This window comes from Homo sapiens, chromosome 19 (genome assembly GCF_000001405.40).
Source record: "Homo sapiens chromosome 19, GRCh38.p14 Primary Assembly".
In the NCBI taxonomy this organism is placed as follows: domain Eukaryota; kingdom Metazoa; phylum Chordata; class Mammalia; order Primates; family Hominidae; genus Homo; species Homo sapiens.
In genome coordinates this window covers 3393686-3412233 of record NC_000019.10, presented here as the reverse complement: position 1 = coordinate 3412233, position 18548 = coordinate 3393686, and the positions used below count along the sequence as shown (strand labels likewise).

At 55.4% G+C, this 18548-nt stretch overlaps 1 protein-coding gene across 5 annotated transcripts in view, besides 1 other annotated feature; it reads right to left on the bottom strand.

Moving 5' to 3' along the window:
- NFIC (nuclear factor I C) overlaps positions 1-18548 on the bottom strand; it is a 109588-nt gene that overhangs the window by 56984 nt on the left and 34056 nt on the right. The gene's annotated exons all lie outside the window — the stretch shown is intronic.
- Positions 209-503: a silencer, noted in NCBI's record as "tiled region #10296; K562 Repressive non-DNase unmatched - State 17:Gen3'". NCBI's record gives its function as "represses a minimal TATA promoter and a strong SV40 promoter by Sharpr-MPRA in K562 cells {active_cell/tissue: K562}" and the evidence as "EXISTENCE:reporter gene assay evidence [ECO:0000049][PMID:27701403]".

Below are 18548 nucleotides of genomic sequence, written 5' to 3'. Positions count from 1 at the left end.
GCCTGTGCCTGCAGTCCCAGCTACTCTGGGGGCTGAGGTGGGTGGATCGTCTGAGCCCAGGAGCTCCAGGCTGCAGTGAGCTATGATCGCACCACTGCATTCCAGCCTGGGTGACAGACTGAGACCCTGTCTTAAGAAAACAAAAACAAAACATATAAATGAACATCTTTTCCAATTGTATACGATGTCGATTACAGGCTTTAAAATGTTGGCGGTTTGTGTGTTTTCTCCTGGCCCGGTAGACACCCTCTGAAATGTGCTGCTTTCTGCAGCTGAGCTCAGTCCAGTGCAAAGACATGATGTACAACAGCCGTGCATGCCGGATGGCACTGACGGCGCGGACAAACTGTTCAATGTGGCACCTGGTGCTGGTCAATATATATTCATGATTGCACAAGCAAACACGGACACGGGAGAAACTAAAGCTGGGCCAAGGACCTGGTGAATCAAAGTTCACACTCCTCACAGCCGGGCTGGGGGTTTCCTATGGGTGTGCCGCCGGATGTGAGCAGACTTTACCCAAACCTGGGGTTCACAGGTCAAAAAGGTTCAGCATCACTGAGGAGTTTTCAGGACAACGTAGGACTTTTCAGAGCCTTTAAAATGCACTGGAGGGCCGGGAGTGGTGGCTCACACCTGTAATCCCCAGAGGCCAAGGAGGGCAGATCACTGGAGGTCAGGAGTTCGAGACCAGCCTGACCGACACGGTGAAACCTGGTCTCTACTAAAAATACAAAAATTAGCCGGGCATGGTGGTGTGTGCCTGTAGTCCCAGCTACTCGGTAGGCTGAGGAAGGAGAATTGCTTGAACCCGGGAGACAGAGGTTGCAGTGAACCGAGATCGTGCCACTGCACTCTAGCCTGGGCAACAGAGCAAGACTCCGTCTCAAAAAAAAAAAAAAAAAGCACTGGAGGGCTGGGCATGGTGGCTCACACCTATAATTCCTGCACTTTGGAAGGTCAAGGAGGGAGGATTACTTGAGCTCAGGAGTTTGAGACAAGCCTGGGCAATACAGGATACCCCACCCCATCTCTACTTTAAAAAAAAAAGTTACCTGGCTGTGGTGATGCACACCTGTAGTATCAGCTACTCAAGAGGCTGAGGCAGGAGGACTGCTTGAGCCCAGGAGGTCAAGGCTGCAGTGGGTGAGCTATGATTGAGCCACTGCACTCCAGCCTGGGCAACAGAGGGAGACCCTATCTCAAAAAAAACAACAAAAACAGCACTGGGGTTTTTAAAGAAGAGGTGGCAAGTCCCAGGCTTGTCTGATTTTGGGGTATCTTATGGAAACAAGGGCTGCACCCTGAAACCTGCGTTCGATGGAGTTCCAGCCCCAGCACAACCTGGCCATGTGGCTCTGGACCAGTCACCTCCTCTGTCGGAGCCTCCAACCTCCAGCGGCTCTCCGCTCATCTATAACGCGGGCGTTTCCAATCGCTGCCTTACCTTCCCGTTCTGTTGCTATGCTCAGAGGAGCTTACGGAGGGGACGGGGATAGCTAGAGGTTCTGTGATAAAGTCTGTTTTGATGATAGCATTTTGTCAAACTCCAGGAGTTAAATGAACATTACCCCTCCTCTGCCCGCAGCCCTCCATAGCTCCCACCTTCTTTGCGGGGAAAAGCCCACCTTCTTCCCGTGGCCCACAAGGCCCTGCATGGCCCGATCAGTCCCCTCCCTGCCCTCCCCTCCTTCCTGTCTCCCCTTCCTCACTCTGCTCTAGCCACGGGGGCCTCCTCGCTGTTCCTCCAACACACCAGGCATGGTCCTGCCTCAGGGCCTTTGCACGGGCTGCGCCTCTGCCTGGAACACTGTTCCCTCAGCTATCTACATGGCTCATTCTCTCCCCTCATTCAGGACTTTCCTCAAATAGCTCCTTCTCAGAGAGACACAAATGCCTCTTTCAGCACCATTTAGCATGGATGACCACACACATGCTAGTGTTGAGAGGCTCTGGTTCTGGAAAGCAAATTGTTGTTCTCCTAGCTAACACGGTAAAACCCCGTCTCTATTAAAAATACAAAAAAAAAGCCGGGCGTGGTGGCAGGCGCCTGTAGTCCCAGCTACTCGGGAGGCTGAGGCAGGAGAATGGCGTGAACCCGGGAGGCGGAGCTTGCAGTGAGCCGAGATCGAACCACTGCACTCCAGCCTGTGCAAAGGAGCGAGACTCCGTCTCAGGAAAAAAAAAAAGTAGAGACGCAGTCTCGCTATGTTGCCCAGGCTGGACTCAAACTCCTGGGCTCAAGCAATCCTCCCACCTCTGTCTCCCAAAGTAGGGGAAACACAGGTGCGAGCCACCGCAGCCGGCCAGCAAATTGTATTTCAAATGATACCCTCATCTGGCCGGGAGCCAGGTCTCTTGACTTCCCAGGTCTGTGAGGTGTCATGGACTGCCAAGAATGTCACTGGACCCTGTAGCCTTTGCTCAAGCAAACAAATGATGCACAACAGCCACGCACGCTGGATGGCACTGACGGGGCGGACACACTGTTCTCTCCTGTCCGTGGCTGTGAGCCCAAATTCAGTCCATCCTAGCTCATGACAAAGGCATCGCCGTGGGCTCTGGCCCCACCCTTCCCGCCCGGGAGCACCCACCCCCTTTGCAAGGGACAACTCCCTGCGTCCGCTGGCTGAAGCTTCCGCCGTTGGTGACTGGGAGGTCAACGCACACCCGGCACTCACGGAACAGGTGTTTACTGACCACCTACTACTCGCCAGGCCTTGGGGGGATGGCAGAGAAGGAAGTGGGGAGGGAGACGGGCAGAACCAGTGCATGGAGGAAGCCTCAGATCATTTCACACGGTTCTAGGTTCTACGGAGGCAATGAAACTGGCGGAAGGCAGAATGGCTTTGGGGGCGGCGTTGGAGGGAGGACTCAGGCAGAACCTCTCTGAGGATGTGACGGTGGCTCTCCAGCGGGAGAAGGAGCCCAGCCATGTGGAGAGCTGGGGTGAAAGCGTTCCACAAAGGTTCGGTGACAAGGGCAAGGTCCACGGGGCAGGAATGAAGTTGGATGTGTGAAAGGCAGAGACAGACCCCAGGCTGCAGCGTGGTGGGCAAGAGAAAGAGGAACGAACGGAGAGGGGAGCGGGACCATTCGGGGCCTTGTGTGTTGCAGTGAGAGGCCTGGGTTTTATCCTGCAGTGGGAAGAGGAGTGATGTGAGCTATGATACAATCCATTTTAGACTTTCAAAAGTCTCTGGGCCGGGCACAGTGGCTCACACCTGTAATTCCAGCACTTTGGGAGGCTGAAGTGGGAGGATCACTTGAGGCAAGGAGTTCGAGACCAGCCTGGACCACATAGCAAGACCCCATCTCTACAAAATATTTTTAAAAATTAGCCGGGTGTCAGCCAGGGGCGGTGGCTCACGCCTATAATCCCAGCACTTTGGGATCACAAGGTCAGGAGTTCGAGACCAACCTGGTCAACATGGTGAAACCTTGTCTCTACTAAAAATACAAAAATTAGCCAGGTGTGGTGGCGGTCGCCTATAGTCCCAGCTACTCGGGAGGCTGAGGCAGGAGAACTGCTTGAACCCAGGAGGCGGAGGTTGTAGTGAGCCGAGTTGGCGCGACAGAGTGAGACTCCGTCTCAAAAATAAAATAAAATAAAATAAAAATTAGCTGGGTGTGGTGGTGCGTGCTGCATGTGTGGTCCCAGATGCTCAGGAGGCTGAGGTGCGAGGATTGCTTGAGCCTGGGAGTTTGAGGCTGCGATGAGCTATGACAGTGCCACTGCACTCCAGCCTGGGTGACAGAGTGAAACCCTGTCTCAAGAAAAAAAAAGTGTGTGATGTGTGTCTCACCACAGTTAAAGCAATTTTTAAAGAAACTTCTGGACTCTCAGGTGTTGGGAATCTTGGCTTCAACACAACACCCTGGCCCAGCAGGGGTGGCCCAGCATTGCACGGAGTGGCCATATTGAATTGATCTTTTGGCTGTAGGAAGGACAGGACTTGCTGAAACCATAATCACACTTATTTAAAAACCCGGCGGGCTGTCAGAAGGCCTAGAATGTCCACTTGGGCCCCAGCAGGGCATCTGCTGGACCTCACGGAGCCCAGGTTTCCAGCATCGGCCGCCACCGTGAGCTCGCCTGGTTGATTTTCCAACGTTAGCCGGCTTCCAAATGTTGCTGGCTCTGCCGGCTGCCACGTCCGCCTCCCAACCTCAGCCAGCTAAAGAGAGAACCAAAGCCAGGCCCTGGAATTCCCAGCTACTGGGTGTCACCGGCCATTTTTAAACATTACCCGGCGAAGGTTCAACTTTCTCTGTCCTGGAAGGCAATGGAATATACGAGTGACCTGGGCCTGAGTCCTCTGAGCTCCTGCTGTGCCGTCTTCCCTGCCCCTCTCCCTCCTAGGAAACCTCCAGCCATACTTTGCAGCCCAGCTCTGACATCTCCTTCTCTGGAACACCCTCCCCAGCCCTTTCTGCAAACGTTTGTTCTAGTCCCCAGCACCCTGGACTGTGTCTGGGTCTACAAATATGTGAAAGTTCACCCGGGCGCGGTGGCTCACGTCTGTAATCCCAGCACTTTGGGAGGCCAAGGCGAGCAGATCACAAGGTCAGGAGTTCCAGCTCAGCCTGACCAACATGGCGGAAACCTCGTCTCTGCTAAAAACACAAAAATTAGCCAGGCGTGGTGGTGCATGCCTGTAATCCCAGATGCTCAGGAGGCTGAGGCAGGAGAATTGCTCGAACCCGGGAGGCAGAGGGCACGGTGAACCAAGATTGCACCAGTGACTCCAGCCTGGGTGACAGAGCGAGACTCCATCTCAAAAACAACAACAACAAAGCAAAAACAAAACCAAACAATTGGGCCGGGCGCGGTGGCTCACGCCTGTAATCCCAGCACTTTGGGAGGCCGAGGCGGGTGGATCACGAGGTCAGGAGATCGAGACCATCCTGGCTAACACAGTGAAACCCCGTCTCTACTAAAAATACAAAACTATAGCCGGGCGTGGTGGCGGGCGCCTGTAGTCCCAGCTACTCGGGAGGCTGAGGCAGGAGAATGGCGTGAACCCGGGAGGCAGAGCTTGCAGTGAGCCGAGATCGCACCACTGCACTCCAGCCTGGGCGACAGAGCGAGACTCCACCTCAAAAACAAAAAACAAAAAACAGAAAACCAAATATCTAAAAGTCCAAGTTCTCCCCATCTCCCCATGGCGCTCAAGGCCCTGCACAGCCCGCCTCTGCCCCCTCCCTCCCCTCCTCCCCTCGTCCCTCTCTCCCCCTCGCTCACTCTGCTCCAGCCACACAGGCCTCCTGGCTGTTCCACCAATGCACCAGGCACGGTCCTGCCTCAGGGCCTTTGCACGGGCTGTGCACACTGCTTGGAACACCGTCCCTGCAAATGCCTGCCTGGCTCACTCTCTCGCTTTATTCAGGCTTCTGTTCAAATGTGGTTTATCGTCCACAGCTCCCGGCACAGAATCTGCACTTGAAGTGAGGGAAGTTTGAGTTTTCGCCTCCTCACATCCCTCCTGAAAAATGTGACCACAGGGTTCCCGTGTGTGTCCAGTTACGTTGCAACCTACTTTGCATTTCCTGAGCCTCTGCCCCCTTCCTGTGCCAGCATCTGTGCCAACCCCAGCCTCAGGAGAAAACTGTGATGCTTTTATCCAACACACGTCTTGAGCGCCTACTGTGTACCATGCCCTGTCCTAGGTACTGGGGACAGAGCAGTGAAAAACACACAGACATTGGCTGGACACAGTGGCTCACGCTGTAATCCCAACACTTTGGGAAGCCAAGGCAAGAGGATCACTTGAGGTCAGAAGTTCGAGACCAGCTTGAGCAACATAGTGAGACCCTATTTCTACAAAAAAAAAAAAATAGGCAGGGCACGGTGGCTCATGCCTGTAATCCCAGCACTATGGGAGGCCAAGGCAGGCGGATCACTTGAGGTCAGAAGTTCGAGACCAGCCTGGGCAACATGGCAAAACCCCATCTCTACTAAAAACACAAAAAATTAGCAGGGCATCGTGGCGGGTGCCTGTAATCCCAGCTACTTGGAAGGCTGAGGCAGGAGAATCGCTTGAACCTGGGAGGTGGAGGTTGCAGTGAGCCAAAATCGTGCCATTGCACTCCAGCCTGGGCAACAGAGTGAGACTCTGTCTCAAACAAACAAACAAAACCCAAATTTAGCTGGGCATGGTGGTACATGCCTGTGGTCCCAGCTACTCAGGAGGCTGAAGTGAGAGGATTGCTTGAGCCCAGAAGGTTGAGGCTACAGTAAGCCATGATCAAGTCACTGCACTCCAGCCTGGGTGACAGAGCAGGAGGACTCTGTTTCAAAAAAAGAAAGGAAGAAAGAAAAAGAAAAAGGGGCCGGGCGCGGTGGCTCACACGTATAATCCCAGCACTTTGGGAGGCCAAGGCAGGCAGATCACCTGAGGTCAGGAGTTCGAGACCAGCCTGGCCAACATGGTGAGACCCCTGTCTCTACTAAAAATACAAAAAAATTAGCTGGGTGTAGTGGCAGGCACCTGTAATCCCAGTTACTCAAGAGGCTGAGACAGGAGAATCGCTTGAACTCAGGAGGTGGAGGTTGCAGTGAGCCGAGATCGTGCCATTGCACTCCAGCCTAGGCAACAAGAGTGAAACTCCATCTCAAAAATAAATAAATAAATAAATAAATTAAATTAAATAAAAATAGAAAGGAATTCCAGTACGGACCCTGATCCTCCATAGAGAACTTCCTCCTCCCCAAGATGCTCTAAGGAGGGAAGCAGCTGTCAGTTTTGCCAGTGCTGTGTGACCTCACTAAAAGCACTCTCCCTCTCTGAGCCTCCACATCCTGACAGTGCAGATGACCTAAAACCCCTGCCCAGCCCTTGTCCATCGCCTGTCTGGACAAATCAAAAGAGGAAAAAACACAAGCCCATAGATGTTCTCCGCACTCCCCGCCCGCCCCAGGGACAGGGAGGAAAATCTGGATGTGACCTGGGGGGGCCCGAGAGGCAGAGGCGTGGACGGGGTGACCTCCAGGACGCTGGCCTCCATCCCGGGCCTCCCCGGCCTCGTCCTTCCTGCGTTCCTTAAGTCTGGCCCATACTTTCCATCTCCCTCTCCCCTGCCGCCGGGCCGCCTGGGCCGGAGCCAACCTGCTTCGGAATCACTTTCAAAGAAAAGTTTCTTTTTTCTTTCCACCCGGCCCCCGCCGGCTCCATGGCCTGGCTCCGGGCCCTCCCGGGCGCTGGTGGACGCCTCGGTGTCCTGCGGGTCAGGTCAGCGGCCACCACCGCCCCGGAACCGTCCCCAGCATCGGGCTGTTGGGACTGGAGGCCCAGTGCTGGCCTCGCCCTCCCCCAGGTCTCGGGCCCGCCTCTGGGGACCCCTGGGGACCCCGGTGTCACTCTTTGTGGGTGTCCGGCCTGGGCAGCGGGTCTGGAGGTCCCTGGAGGCCGCAGGGCCCCTGCTCGGAGGCCTGCGCGTAGGGACTCGCCCCGTGCTGGGGACGCTCTGGGAGGCCACGCCGCCCATGACATCATCCCTCTGGCGGCCATTTTCTCGCCTCTCCCTTCCCCTGTTCCAGATGTTTCTCCGGCCTTGGCGGCCATTTTGTAGGTCTGGGCGGCGCAGGCTGGCACCGGCCTCGGGCACCCGGCCCTGCCCTCCTGGGTGGGGTGGGGGTGGGGGGACACCAGGAGAAGGTGACAAGGGAGCCTCTGGGGCACCACTGGGCCCTGGGCCGCCTCCCCCAGCCCCTCTGCAGCCTCTGAGGGGTTAAACACGTGGTGCCAACAGCAGGGCGGCCTTGCCAAGCGCCCACCCGCGCACGGCCACCCAGGGCTCCCCACGCCTCCGCGCCCCCTCCCCATTATCTGCCACTCGGCACCAGCCACTCCAGGGATGTGAGGAGCAAGGTTAAAAATACCCGCACGCACACCCTCACCCCCACCCCCTCCCGGTCCCGCCAATGTCAAATGTGTCAACGCCACCCGGGGTGGGGGGGAGTGGACTGAAAATAACTCGCTGTTTACATTTGGAGCAAATTCTTGGCTTCCCAGCAGCCAAGCTGAGGCCTCCCCACACCCCCACCCCCAACACCTTCCTGGCAGGCCTGACTCGGCGGCTGTGACGGGGGGGGGAGAAGGGCAGGCCTCGGGGGGAGCCCTGGGAGCCACATGTGCCCACGGGCTGAACGCACACGCACGCGTCCCCATGGAGAGGTTCGGGAAGGGATGGGGGGAAAGGGGCAGGCCAGGGGCTGGGGGGGTGGAGAAGGGAGCCCCGGGAGCCACATGTGCCACTGGCTGAGCGCACACACGGGCGTCCCCATGGAGAGGCTCCGGAAGGGATCAGTGGCCACACGAAGCAGGCAGGGCCAGTCGGAAGCGCCCGAGGACACTCTCTGCCAATGTCGGGCACCGGGTGGGGGCAGCCGGGCGCGGCGGGGGGTGGCGGGAGGAGGCGGAGGCCCCTCCCGGCTTCCCCTTCCTTCTGATATTTCTTGGGGCGCGTCTCCAACTGGGCAGCCCGCGGGGAGTCCGGAGGACGGGAGGCAAGGCTGGCGGCCCAGCCAAAGGAGGCAGGAGGAAGGCGCGGGAGCCCGGGCAGGCGCCCAGGGGAGGGCTCTCCGCAATTCCGAGGCCTGCCCGGTGCTGTGTGGCTTCAGGCAAGCCCTGCCCCTCTCTGGGCCTCCAAGAAAAAACAAAATACCAAACGCCCTGGCTTTGGCGTGGGGTCAGGAGAATAGACTCCATGCCAGTCTTGCTTGGGGAGGGAGAGGTAGACACATCTCCGCCCTGCTCTGTGCCTCAGTTTCCCTTGCTGCAAAAAGTAGATGTCAAGTTGTAAACACATCAGATTGTGGAGTGTTCTGCTTTACAAAGGGGGAAACGGAAGATCCGAGAGAGGAAGGGGCTTGCCGCAGATCTCACGGCCACGCAGTTGGACAACGGAACTTGAACCCAGAGGTTTAAATGTTGCCTTGAATGTGGGAGGGGGCTGGAAACCAGAGGGCACAAACCTGAAAGGGGGTAGAAGGAAACTTTCTCCTTCCCAAGCTTTCATGTGGCCTCTCTCCCCAGAGCCTGCTACACAGGTGGTGCTCGATAAATGCTTTTACACAGCTGGCACTCAATAAATGCCTGCAGCCAAATGAGTGTGATTATTCCAGCAGAGCCTGGCACACAGTAGGCACCCAATATGAACTTGTTGCATGAATATTTGGGATTCTCCTGATAGGATCTGGTATACAGCAGGTGCAAAATAAATGCTTGTCAGGGAAAGGAATGTGAGGAACATTAAGAGATTTGGGGGAGTAGTCAAAGTGGAGGACTAGGACCACAGGCCCTGCACAACCTGTCCTGTCCGCTTTCTGCCCTCCCCTCTTCCCTCTCTCCCCCTCACTCACTCTGCTCCAGCCACAGGGGCCTCCTCGCTGTTCCTCCAATGCACCTGGCCCAGTCCTGCCTCAGGGCCTTTGCACATTCTGTTCCCTCTGTCTAAACAGCTAACTGCTTGCTCTCTCTTGAGATCTCTCCTGGTCTCAGCTCAAATGCTCCCTTCTCAGAGAGGTCTACGCTGAGCCCCTTCACCTCAAGCAGCCTCTGGCTACCCTCAATCTCAGCCTTCTGTTTTCTTTCCTTCAGAGGAAGTTAGTGATTGCCTATGGATTTGCTTAGTTGCTTAGTGACTGCACGGGTGTTTGCTCATCTCCCCAGTGGAATGTCACCTCCTTGAGGGCAGAGGCTTTGTCTGTCTAGATCTCTGTTGTGCCCTCAGTGGCTAGAATAAGGCCTGATACAGACTAGGTGCTCAATAAATATTTGTAGAAAGAAAGTTGAGAGGGAGGGATGAGCAGAGAGAAAAAGAGAGACAAGGAGACATGGTACATGGGGGAGTGGAAGGAGGAGGCATGAAAAGGAAGGACCGTCTGGGCGCAGTGGCTCCAGCCTGTAATCCCAGCACTGTGGGAGGCTGAGGCTGGGTGGATCACCTGAGGTCAGGCATTCGAGACTTGCCTGGTCGTCAACATGACAAAGCCCCATCTCTACTAAAAATACAAAAATTAGCTGGCTATAGTGGCACATGCCTGTAGTCCCAGCTACTTGGGAGGCTGAGGCAGGAGAATTGCTTGAACCCTGGAGGCGGAGGTTGCAGTCAGCTGAGATCGTGCCACTGCACTTCAGCCTGGGTGACAGAGTGAGACTTCGTCTCAAAAAAAAGAAAAAAAAATAAGAAAGAAAATAAATGAGAATAGGCTGGGTACGGTGGTTCACACCTGTAATCCTAGAACTTTGGGAGGTCGAGGCGGTTGGATCAATTGAGTTCAGGAGTTTGAGACCAGCCTGGCCAACATGGTGCAACTCCGTCTCTACTAAAAACACAAAAATTAGCTGGGTGAGGTGGTGCACACTTGTAGTCCCAGCTACTCAGGAGGCTGAGGCAGGAGAATCTCTTAAACCTGTGAGGCAGAGGTTGTAGTGAGCTGAGATCGCACCACTGCACTCCAGCCTGGGTGACAGAGCGAGACTCTGTCTAAAAAAAGAGAAAAAAAAAGAGAATAACCCTGCCATGTGGGTGGCGTACCTGGGTTAGGGCTGGGACCCTGGCAGGAGCCCAGAGCCCCACGGGCCTCCCGGGCACCAGGACCCATATCCCAGCTTGCCCGCTAACAAAGTCCTGATTGCAGGAGAGCTCCCAGGCGTGCCCAGTGCTGCGCCGCTCCCTTCCCTGCATGTGCCCAGGCAGGTGCGGCTTGCAGGCAGGAGACGGGGCAAGGAGAGCAAGGGCCAGCCTCAGATAAGGTATAAACGACCCAGGTGAGCAACTGAATCCTCACACCGTCGGAGTTGACCTGGATTCTGCCCCCTCCTCTGCCTCTGTCCCTGCTACCGCCTGCTTGCACCAGGGCGGTCCACTCTGCCCTGGTCCCCAGCTCCTGCCCTCACCCCCCACAGTCTGTCCTCCCTGCAGCAGGCAGAGGGTGCCTGTGAGCACCTGAGTCAGGGCTGGTCCCTCCTCTGCCCATAGCCCTCTATGGCTCCCACCTGCCTTGGGGTCAAAGCCCAAGTCCTTCCTACTGCCCACCAGGCCTTGCACAAACTGCCCTCCCCTCCTCCTTCTCTTCCTCTCCTCACTCTGCTGCAGCCACACAGGCCTCCTCACTGTTCCTCCAAAGTGCCAGGTGTGTCCTGCCGCAGGGCCTTTGCACGGGCTGTGCCCTCTGCCTGGAACGCCTTCCCCCAGTTCTTCATATAACTGGTTCCTCCTCACTTCTCAGGTCTCAGCTCAAATGTCAGGTCCTCAGACAGCCTTTCAGGGACCTCCCCAGCACAGCCCATCAGCCTCTTTTCCTTTGGCCTTCTTTATTTTTCTTGATAGTCCTTATCGCTAAACTGACATTTATTTCTTTTTATTTTTATTATTATTATTTTTTGAGACGGAGTCTCGCTCTGTGGCCCCAGCTGGAGTGTAGTGGTACAATCTCGGCTCACTGCAACCTCCGCCTTCCGGGTTCAAGCGATTCTCCTGCCTCAGCCCCTGCCAGTGGCTGGATTACAGGCGCATACCGCTATGCCTGGCTAATGTTTTGTATTTTTAGTAGGAACGGGGTTTCACCATGTTGGCCAGGCTGGTCTTGAACTCCTGACCTCAGGTGATCTGCCCGCCTCGGCCCCCCACAGTGCTGGGATGACAGGCGTGAGCCACCGCACTAAGCCTAAACTGACATTTATTTCTTGTTCTTTGCCCATCGCCTGAACCAAACTGTGAGTTCCACGAGGGCAGAATTTTTTTTTTTCTGAGACAGAGTCTCACTCTGTCACCCAGGCTGGAGTGCAGTGGCGTGATCTCGGCTCACTGCAAGCTCCGCCTCCCAGGTTCACACCATTCTCCTGCCTCAGCCTCCTGAGGATCTGGGACAACAGGCACCTGCCATCACGCCTGGCTAATTTTTTTTGTATTTTTAGTAGAGACGGGGTTTCACCATGTTAGCCAGGATGGTCTCGATCTCCTGACCTCATGATCCGCCCACCTCAGCCTCCCAAAGTGCTGGGATTACAGGTGTGAGCCACCGTGCCTGGCCAGGGCCGAATTTTTATCTGTCCTGTTCACTGCAGTATCCCAGCGCCTGGAGCAGTGCCTGGCATACAGTAGGAGCTTACTAAATATTTATTGGCTGCAAAGTGGTTCCACTGGATGAGTGCTGACAGTGTCTGTGCTCCGTGCTGTCCTAAACTCTTTTGTTTTCAAAAATTTTTGAGACAGAGATTTGCTATGTTGCCCAGGCTGGTCTCAAACTCCTGGGCTCAAGCGATCCTCCCGCCTCAGCCTCCCAAAGGGCTGGGATTAGAGGTGTGAGTCACTGTGCCCAGCCTATTTTTATTTTTATTTACTTATTTATTTTTTGAGATGGAGTCTTGCTCTGTCACCCAGGCTAGAGTGCAGTGGCACGATCTCGGCTCACTACAATCTCCGCCTCCCAGGTTCAAGTGATTCTTCTGCCTCAGCCTCCCCAGTAGCTGGGATTACAGGCTCCCACCACACGCCCAGCTAATTTTTGTATTTTTAGTAGAGACGGGGTTTCCCCTTGTTGGCCAGGCTGGTCTGGAACTCTTGATCTCAAGTGATCTGTCTTCCTCGGCTTCCCAAAGTGCTGGGATTATAGGCATGAGCCACCATGCCTGGCCTATTTTTATTTTTTGAGACAGGGTGTTGCTCTGTCACCCAGGCTGGAGTGCAGTGGCCCAATCACAGCTCACTGCAGCCTCAACCTCCCAGACTTGAGCAATCCTCCTGCCGCGACCTCTCGAGTGGCTGGGGCTACAGGCACACATCACCATGCCTGGCTAAGTTTTATTTTTTGTAGAGATGGGCATCTCACTATGTTGCCCAGGCTGGTCTTGAACTCCTGGCCTCAAGTGATCCTCCCGTCTCAGCCTCTCAAAGCGCTGGGATTACAGGTGTGAGCCACCATGCCTGGCGGGCATGTAAACTCTTAATATGTCTTATTGACTCTCCCTCAGCAACCCCACAGAGCAGGCGCTATTTTATAGATGGGGAAACTGAGGCCCAGAGAGGGGATGCCACCTGCCTGAGGCCACACAGTGAACAGGCAGCAGGGCCAGGACCCTCCAGGACCTCACGTCTTCCTGCATTGCCCCACTGTGCAGAAGGGGAGGCTGAGGCTCAGAGACAGGGACTTAACCAGGTGACACCCAGAGCCAGCGTCACAGCCCAAGCCTCTGCCCAAGCACTGGGCGTGGTCCTCCGCTCAGCTGAACCCCCGCCCTGGGGAAAGAATATAGTGATGATAAACAACATCCACAAAAATAATCATAACGACATTAATGGCGGCCTTGCTGAGGGCGGAGTCCGCAGCTCGCCTATGAATTCGCACCAGTGCCCGTGGAGGGAGCCGCGGGGGACGCCGGTCCCTTTAAGAGCCTCCCCCTCCCCAGCTGGGCGCTGGCCCGGCCTCCCCTTATGTAAGCGGGCCGGCTGCCCTTGCATAAACTGGTTACATAAGGCAGCGAGGCACAGGCTTGTCCATCCGGCAGCAACCTGTCCCGGGCTGTCTGTGGGGCTGGCCTGGAGCACGGGAGCGTCGTAGCCACCCGGAGCTGTCACAGGGTACAGCCCGGGTCCGAGGGCCTCTGGGTTGACTCCTGCCTGGGGGATGCCTGGGATTCCCAGAGACAGCACAACCCCCTCCCAGGCAGAAGAAGGTGATGGTTTCCAGTGTGTGAAAGGATGGGGCTGTTCCCGTTGCTCTGAAGGTGAAACTGAGGCCCAGAGAGGGCAGGGGAGCAGCCTGAAGCTGCACAACCCTGAGCAGAGGGAGGAGGCGATGACACCAGAGTGAGATCCAGGCTGGGTGGCCTTTGCCTCTCAGCTCACTGCAACCTCTGCAGTGAGGCTTCCTCAGCAAGGCCTGGTATGCAGCTGGCGCTCAATAAGTGCGCCAGTGGAGGTGACACTTGGCAGTGTTTCAGGCCCTTCTCCCTAATACCCTCTAATTCCACGAACCGACTCAATCCTTGCGTAGCTCTCTGTGAAGCTAAGACAGCCATCGCCTCATTCTGCATTTGGGGAAACTGAGGCACGGAGCAAGGTGAAGAAGGAATTGCCAAGTCTGCACGGCGGATGAATGCTGGGCTGAAACAGCAGGTGCTCTATCAATGCACAGTGGGCGCCGGAAGAGTGTCAACTGTGTGCAAAATCCTGGATAATATGCCATCTGCCCAGCAACCCACAGGGGTGGCACCAAGGAGCCCCCTGATCTAGATGGGGAAACTGAGGCACAGAGAGATGAAGGGATTTATCCAAGGTCAAACCCAAACCCTATCACATCTCCTGCTCCAGACAGGCCTCCCCCAAGCCACGAGGGTGTGTAGGTACACAGCTCCCCACCCCCGTCAGACACATGAGTGGTCCACCTTGGGGAGGGTGTGGGATTTGGGAGTGGACGCAGCCTCCCCCGCTCACATTCTTTCTGAGCACTGGCCCTTTAAGGTAGCCACGCTGCCTGGGCATGTCCCAGGGTGACCCCAAGGGGCGGGTGTGGCCAGGAACAAGAGGCCCATTCAGCTGCCCCGTTGCCGCCACCTCCGGGCAGCCCACTGGGTGGGATGGGGGGCTGGGAGGAGACTCGCAAGGCCGGGAGAGAGAGCGAGGTGGGGTGGGAATAGACAGGGACTGAGACAAGGCAGCCTGGGGAGAATCAGAGGTAGAGAGACAGAGACAGAGTCACAGAGACACCCGACCTCAGATGCAGCTCACACCTCCCTGATTCCCCAGGTCCAGGGGTTTGAGACCTGCCCAGCCCCCAGCCTGGCTGCAGCCCTGAAGCTGCTCCTTGAGCCAGCTGAACCTGCGGCCTGCTCACCGGCACCAAAGCCCTGTAGGCCCAAAGGCAGGATCCGGAACGTTCCAGGGCAGTCCCTGCCATACCCCAAACAGCCCCTTTATGTGGTGCCCACTGTGGGTCCTGGGATCTCCCAGGCTTGGATTTAAATCCTGACTGTGCTCCTTAGCTATGTGACCTTAGGCCAGTGACTTTGCCTCTCTAGGCCTCAGTTTCCCCATCTGTTAAATGCTGTTAATGATCATTCCAACCTCAGCGGGTGGTTGTGAGACGGTGAGGTAGCTGCCAACAATGTGGTTTCCTGAGGGCTCAGATGAGCCAGGCACTTGGTAAGCCCTCAATACGCCTGCAATCCCCCCACAATGCACCCCAGACACGCATGCAGACACACCCCTGCCTCCCACTAGATGACACAACCGATCATGATGGCCACTGCTTTTTTGTTTGTTTGTTTGTTTGAGATGGAGTCTCACTCTGTCACCAGGCTGGAGTGCAATGGCGCGATCTCAGCTCACCGCAACCTCTGCCTCCTGGGTTCAAGCGATTCTCCTGCCTCAGCCTCCCGAGTAGCTGAGACTACAAGCATGTGCCACCACACCCAGCTAATTTTTGTAGGTTTAGTAGAGATAGGGTTTTGCCATGTTGGCCAGACTGGTCTCGAACTCCTGATCTCAGGTGATCCACCCACCTTGGCCTCTGCAAGTGCTGGGATTACAGGTGTGAGCCGCCGTGCTCGGCCCTGGGCCATTGCCTTTGAACAAAGCTCTGCAAGCTCTGGGCTACGAGCGGCCGTGGTGTCCCTGTTGGAAGTTCTCACATAGCTCTGTTCACCAGAAGGGACGCCTGGTGGTAGACAGGCTGGGATCCAGACCCAGTGAGGGTGTGCCCGAGGCCCCATAACAGCCTCTTGGAAACACACACTTTTTTTTTTTTTTTTTTTTGAGACGGAGTCTCACTCTGTTGCCCCGGCTGGAGTGCAGTGGCACGATCTCAGCTCACTGCAAGCTCCGCCTCCCAGGTCCACACCATTCTCCTCTCTCAGCCTCCCGAGTAGCTGGGACTACAGGCGCCCACCACCACGCCTGGCTAATATTTTCATATTTTTAGTAGAGACGGGGTTTCACCACGTTAGCCAGGATGGTCTGGATCTCCTCACCTCGTGATCCGCATACCTCAGCCTCCCAAAGTGCTGGGATTATAGGCGTGAGCCGCCGCGCCCGGCCCGGAAACACACACTTACAGCCAGGCTTCCCGTGCCCAGCATCCAAAGCACAACAGACAGTAACTGGGGGTCACCACCAGTCCTCACAACTGCTCTCCTTGCGCCCAAATACCTCCCGCCACAGTGGAGTCCTGCTCCAGCCCTAACCAATATGGAAGAAAGCTCAAAGAGCCTGAAATCCCAGCATGGGCCACATAGTGAGACCTCCTGTCTACGAAAAATAAAAATAAGGCCGGGCATGGTAGTTCATGCCTGTCATCCCAGCACTTTGGGACCCGAGGTCAGGAGTTCAAGACCAGCCTGGCCAACATGGAGAAATCCCATCTCTACTAAAAATACAAAAATTAGCCGGTGTGGTGGCACGCGCCTGTAATCCCAGGTACTCGGGAGGCTGAGGCAGGAGAATCGCTTGAACCCGGGAGGTGGAGGTTGCAGTGAGCCAAGATTGCGCCACTGCACTCCAGCCTGGGTGACAAAGCAAGACTCCGTCTCAAAAAGTAAATAAATAAATAAATAAAAATAAAAAATCAGCCAGGCGTAGTGGTGCACGCCTATACTGCCAGCTACCTGGGAGGCTGAAGCAGGAGGATCCCTTGAGCCTGAGAGATTGAGGCTGCAGTGAGCTATGAGTCCACCACAGCACTCCAGCCTGGGCAACATAGTGAGACCTCATCTCTACTAAAAAAAAAAAAAAAAAATCAACCATGGTGGTATGCGCCTGTAATCCCAGCCCCAGCGACTTAGGAGGCTAAGGTGGGAGGATCACTTGAACCTGGGAGTTGAAGGCTGCAGTGAGCTGTGATTGCACCACTGAACTCCAGTCTGGGCAAAAGAGTTAGATTCTCACTCTGTTGCCCAGGCTGGAGTACAGTGGTGCGATCTCTGCTGACTGCAGCCTCTGCCTCCCGGATTGAAGTGATTCTCCTGCCTCAGCCTCCCCAGTAGCTGGGATTACAGGTGTGCACCACCACACCTGGCTGATTTTTGTATTTTTAGTAGAGATGGGGTTTCACCACGTTGGCCAGGCTGGTCTCGAACTCCTGACCTCGGGAGATCCGCCCGTCTCGGCTTCCCAAAGTGCTGGGATGACAGGTGTGAGCCACCGCGCCCAGCCTCCTTGGATTTTCAAGCAACCAGTTTGGAAGGTCTAGAACCTGCCCTCACGTTTTCGAGAACCCAACTTGGGAGACTGGAGATCTGCTTCCGAATTCTCTGGAACAGCAGCCTCCAACCTTCTTGGCCCCAGGGACCGATTTCATGGAAGACAATTTTTCCAGGGACGGGGTGAGTGGGGAGATGGTTCTGGGATGAAACTAGACATTAGACATTAGTCAGATTCTCCTAAGGAGCACGCAACCTGGATCCCTCCTATGTTCAGTTCACCATGGGGTTCATGCTCGTAGGGGCACCCAGAGCCGCCCGCTGATCTGACGGGAGGTGGAGCTCAGGTGAGAATGGTCACTTGCCCTAAGCTCAACTCCTGCTGAGTGGCCAGGTTCCTCCCAGGCACGGAACCCGTCTGTGGCCCGGGGGTCGGGAACCCCTGCTCTGGAACTCAGATGTCTTAGCACGGCCTGCCCAATACAGCAGCCCCTGGCCACGTGTGACATCCAGTGCTTGAAATGTGGTCTGTCCAAATTTCAGACTTAGTGTAAGCGGGTGGGGGGTGGGTGGGGAAAAGATCATAAAATACCTCGATAACTTTTTTTTTGAGTTGAAGTCTTGCTCTGTCACCCAGGCTGGAATGCAGTGACACAATCACAGCTCGCTGGAGCCCCACATTCCTGGGCTCAAGCGATCTTCCCACCTCAGCCTCCTGAGTAGCTGGGACCGCAGGTTCACGCCACCACGCCTGGCTAATTTTTTAATTTTTTTGTAGAGACAAGGTCTTAGTATGTTGGCCAGGCTGGTCTCAAACTCCTGACCTCAAGTGATCCTCCCACCTCAGCCTCCCAAAGGGCTGGGATTCCAGGCGTGAGCCACTGCACCCGACCAATAGACCAATAATTTTTCCTGTTGTTTATGGATTGCAATAGTATCATTCCAGATGCCCTGGGTTAAATAAAGTAATGTTAAAATTAAACATTTTAATGTTACTACTCGGGAAGCTGAGGCAGCTACTCGGGAGGCTGAGGCAGGAGAACTGCTTGAACCCAGGAGGTGGAGGTTGCAGTGAGCCGAGATTGCACCGCTGCACTCCAGCCTGGGCGACAGAGCGAGACTCTGTCTCAAGGAAAAAAAAAATTAACATTACTTAAAATAATGTTAAAATTAATTTCCCCAGTATACTTAAATTTACATTCTTAAGTGTGAGGACCAGAAAAATGTTAAATTATATGTGTGGTTGGAACTCTTTTTTTTTTTTTTTTTTTTTGAGACAGAGTCTCACTCTGTTGCCCAGGCTGGAGTGCAGTGGCACGATCCCAGCTCACTGTAGCCTCTGCCTCCTGGGTTTAAGCGATTCTCCTGTCTCAGCCTCCTGAGAGTAGCTGGGATTACAGGTTC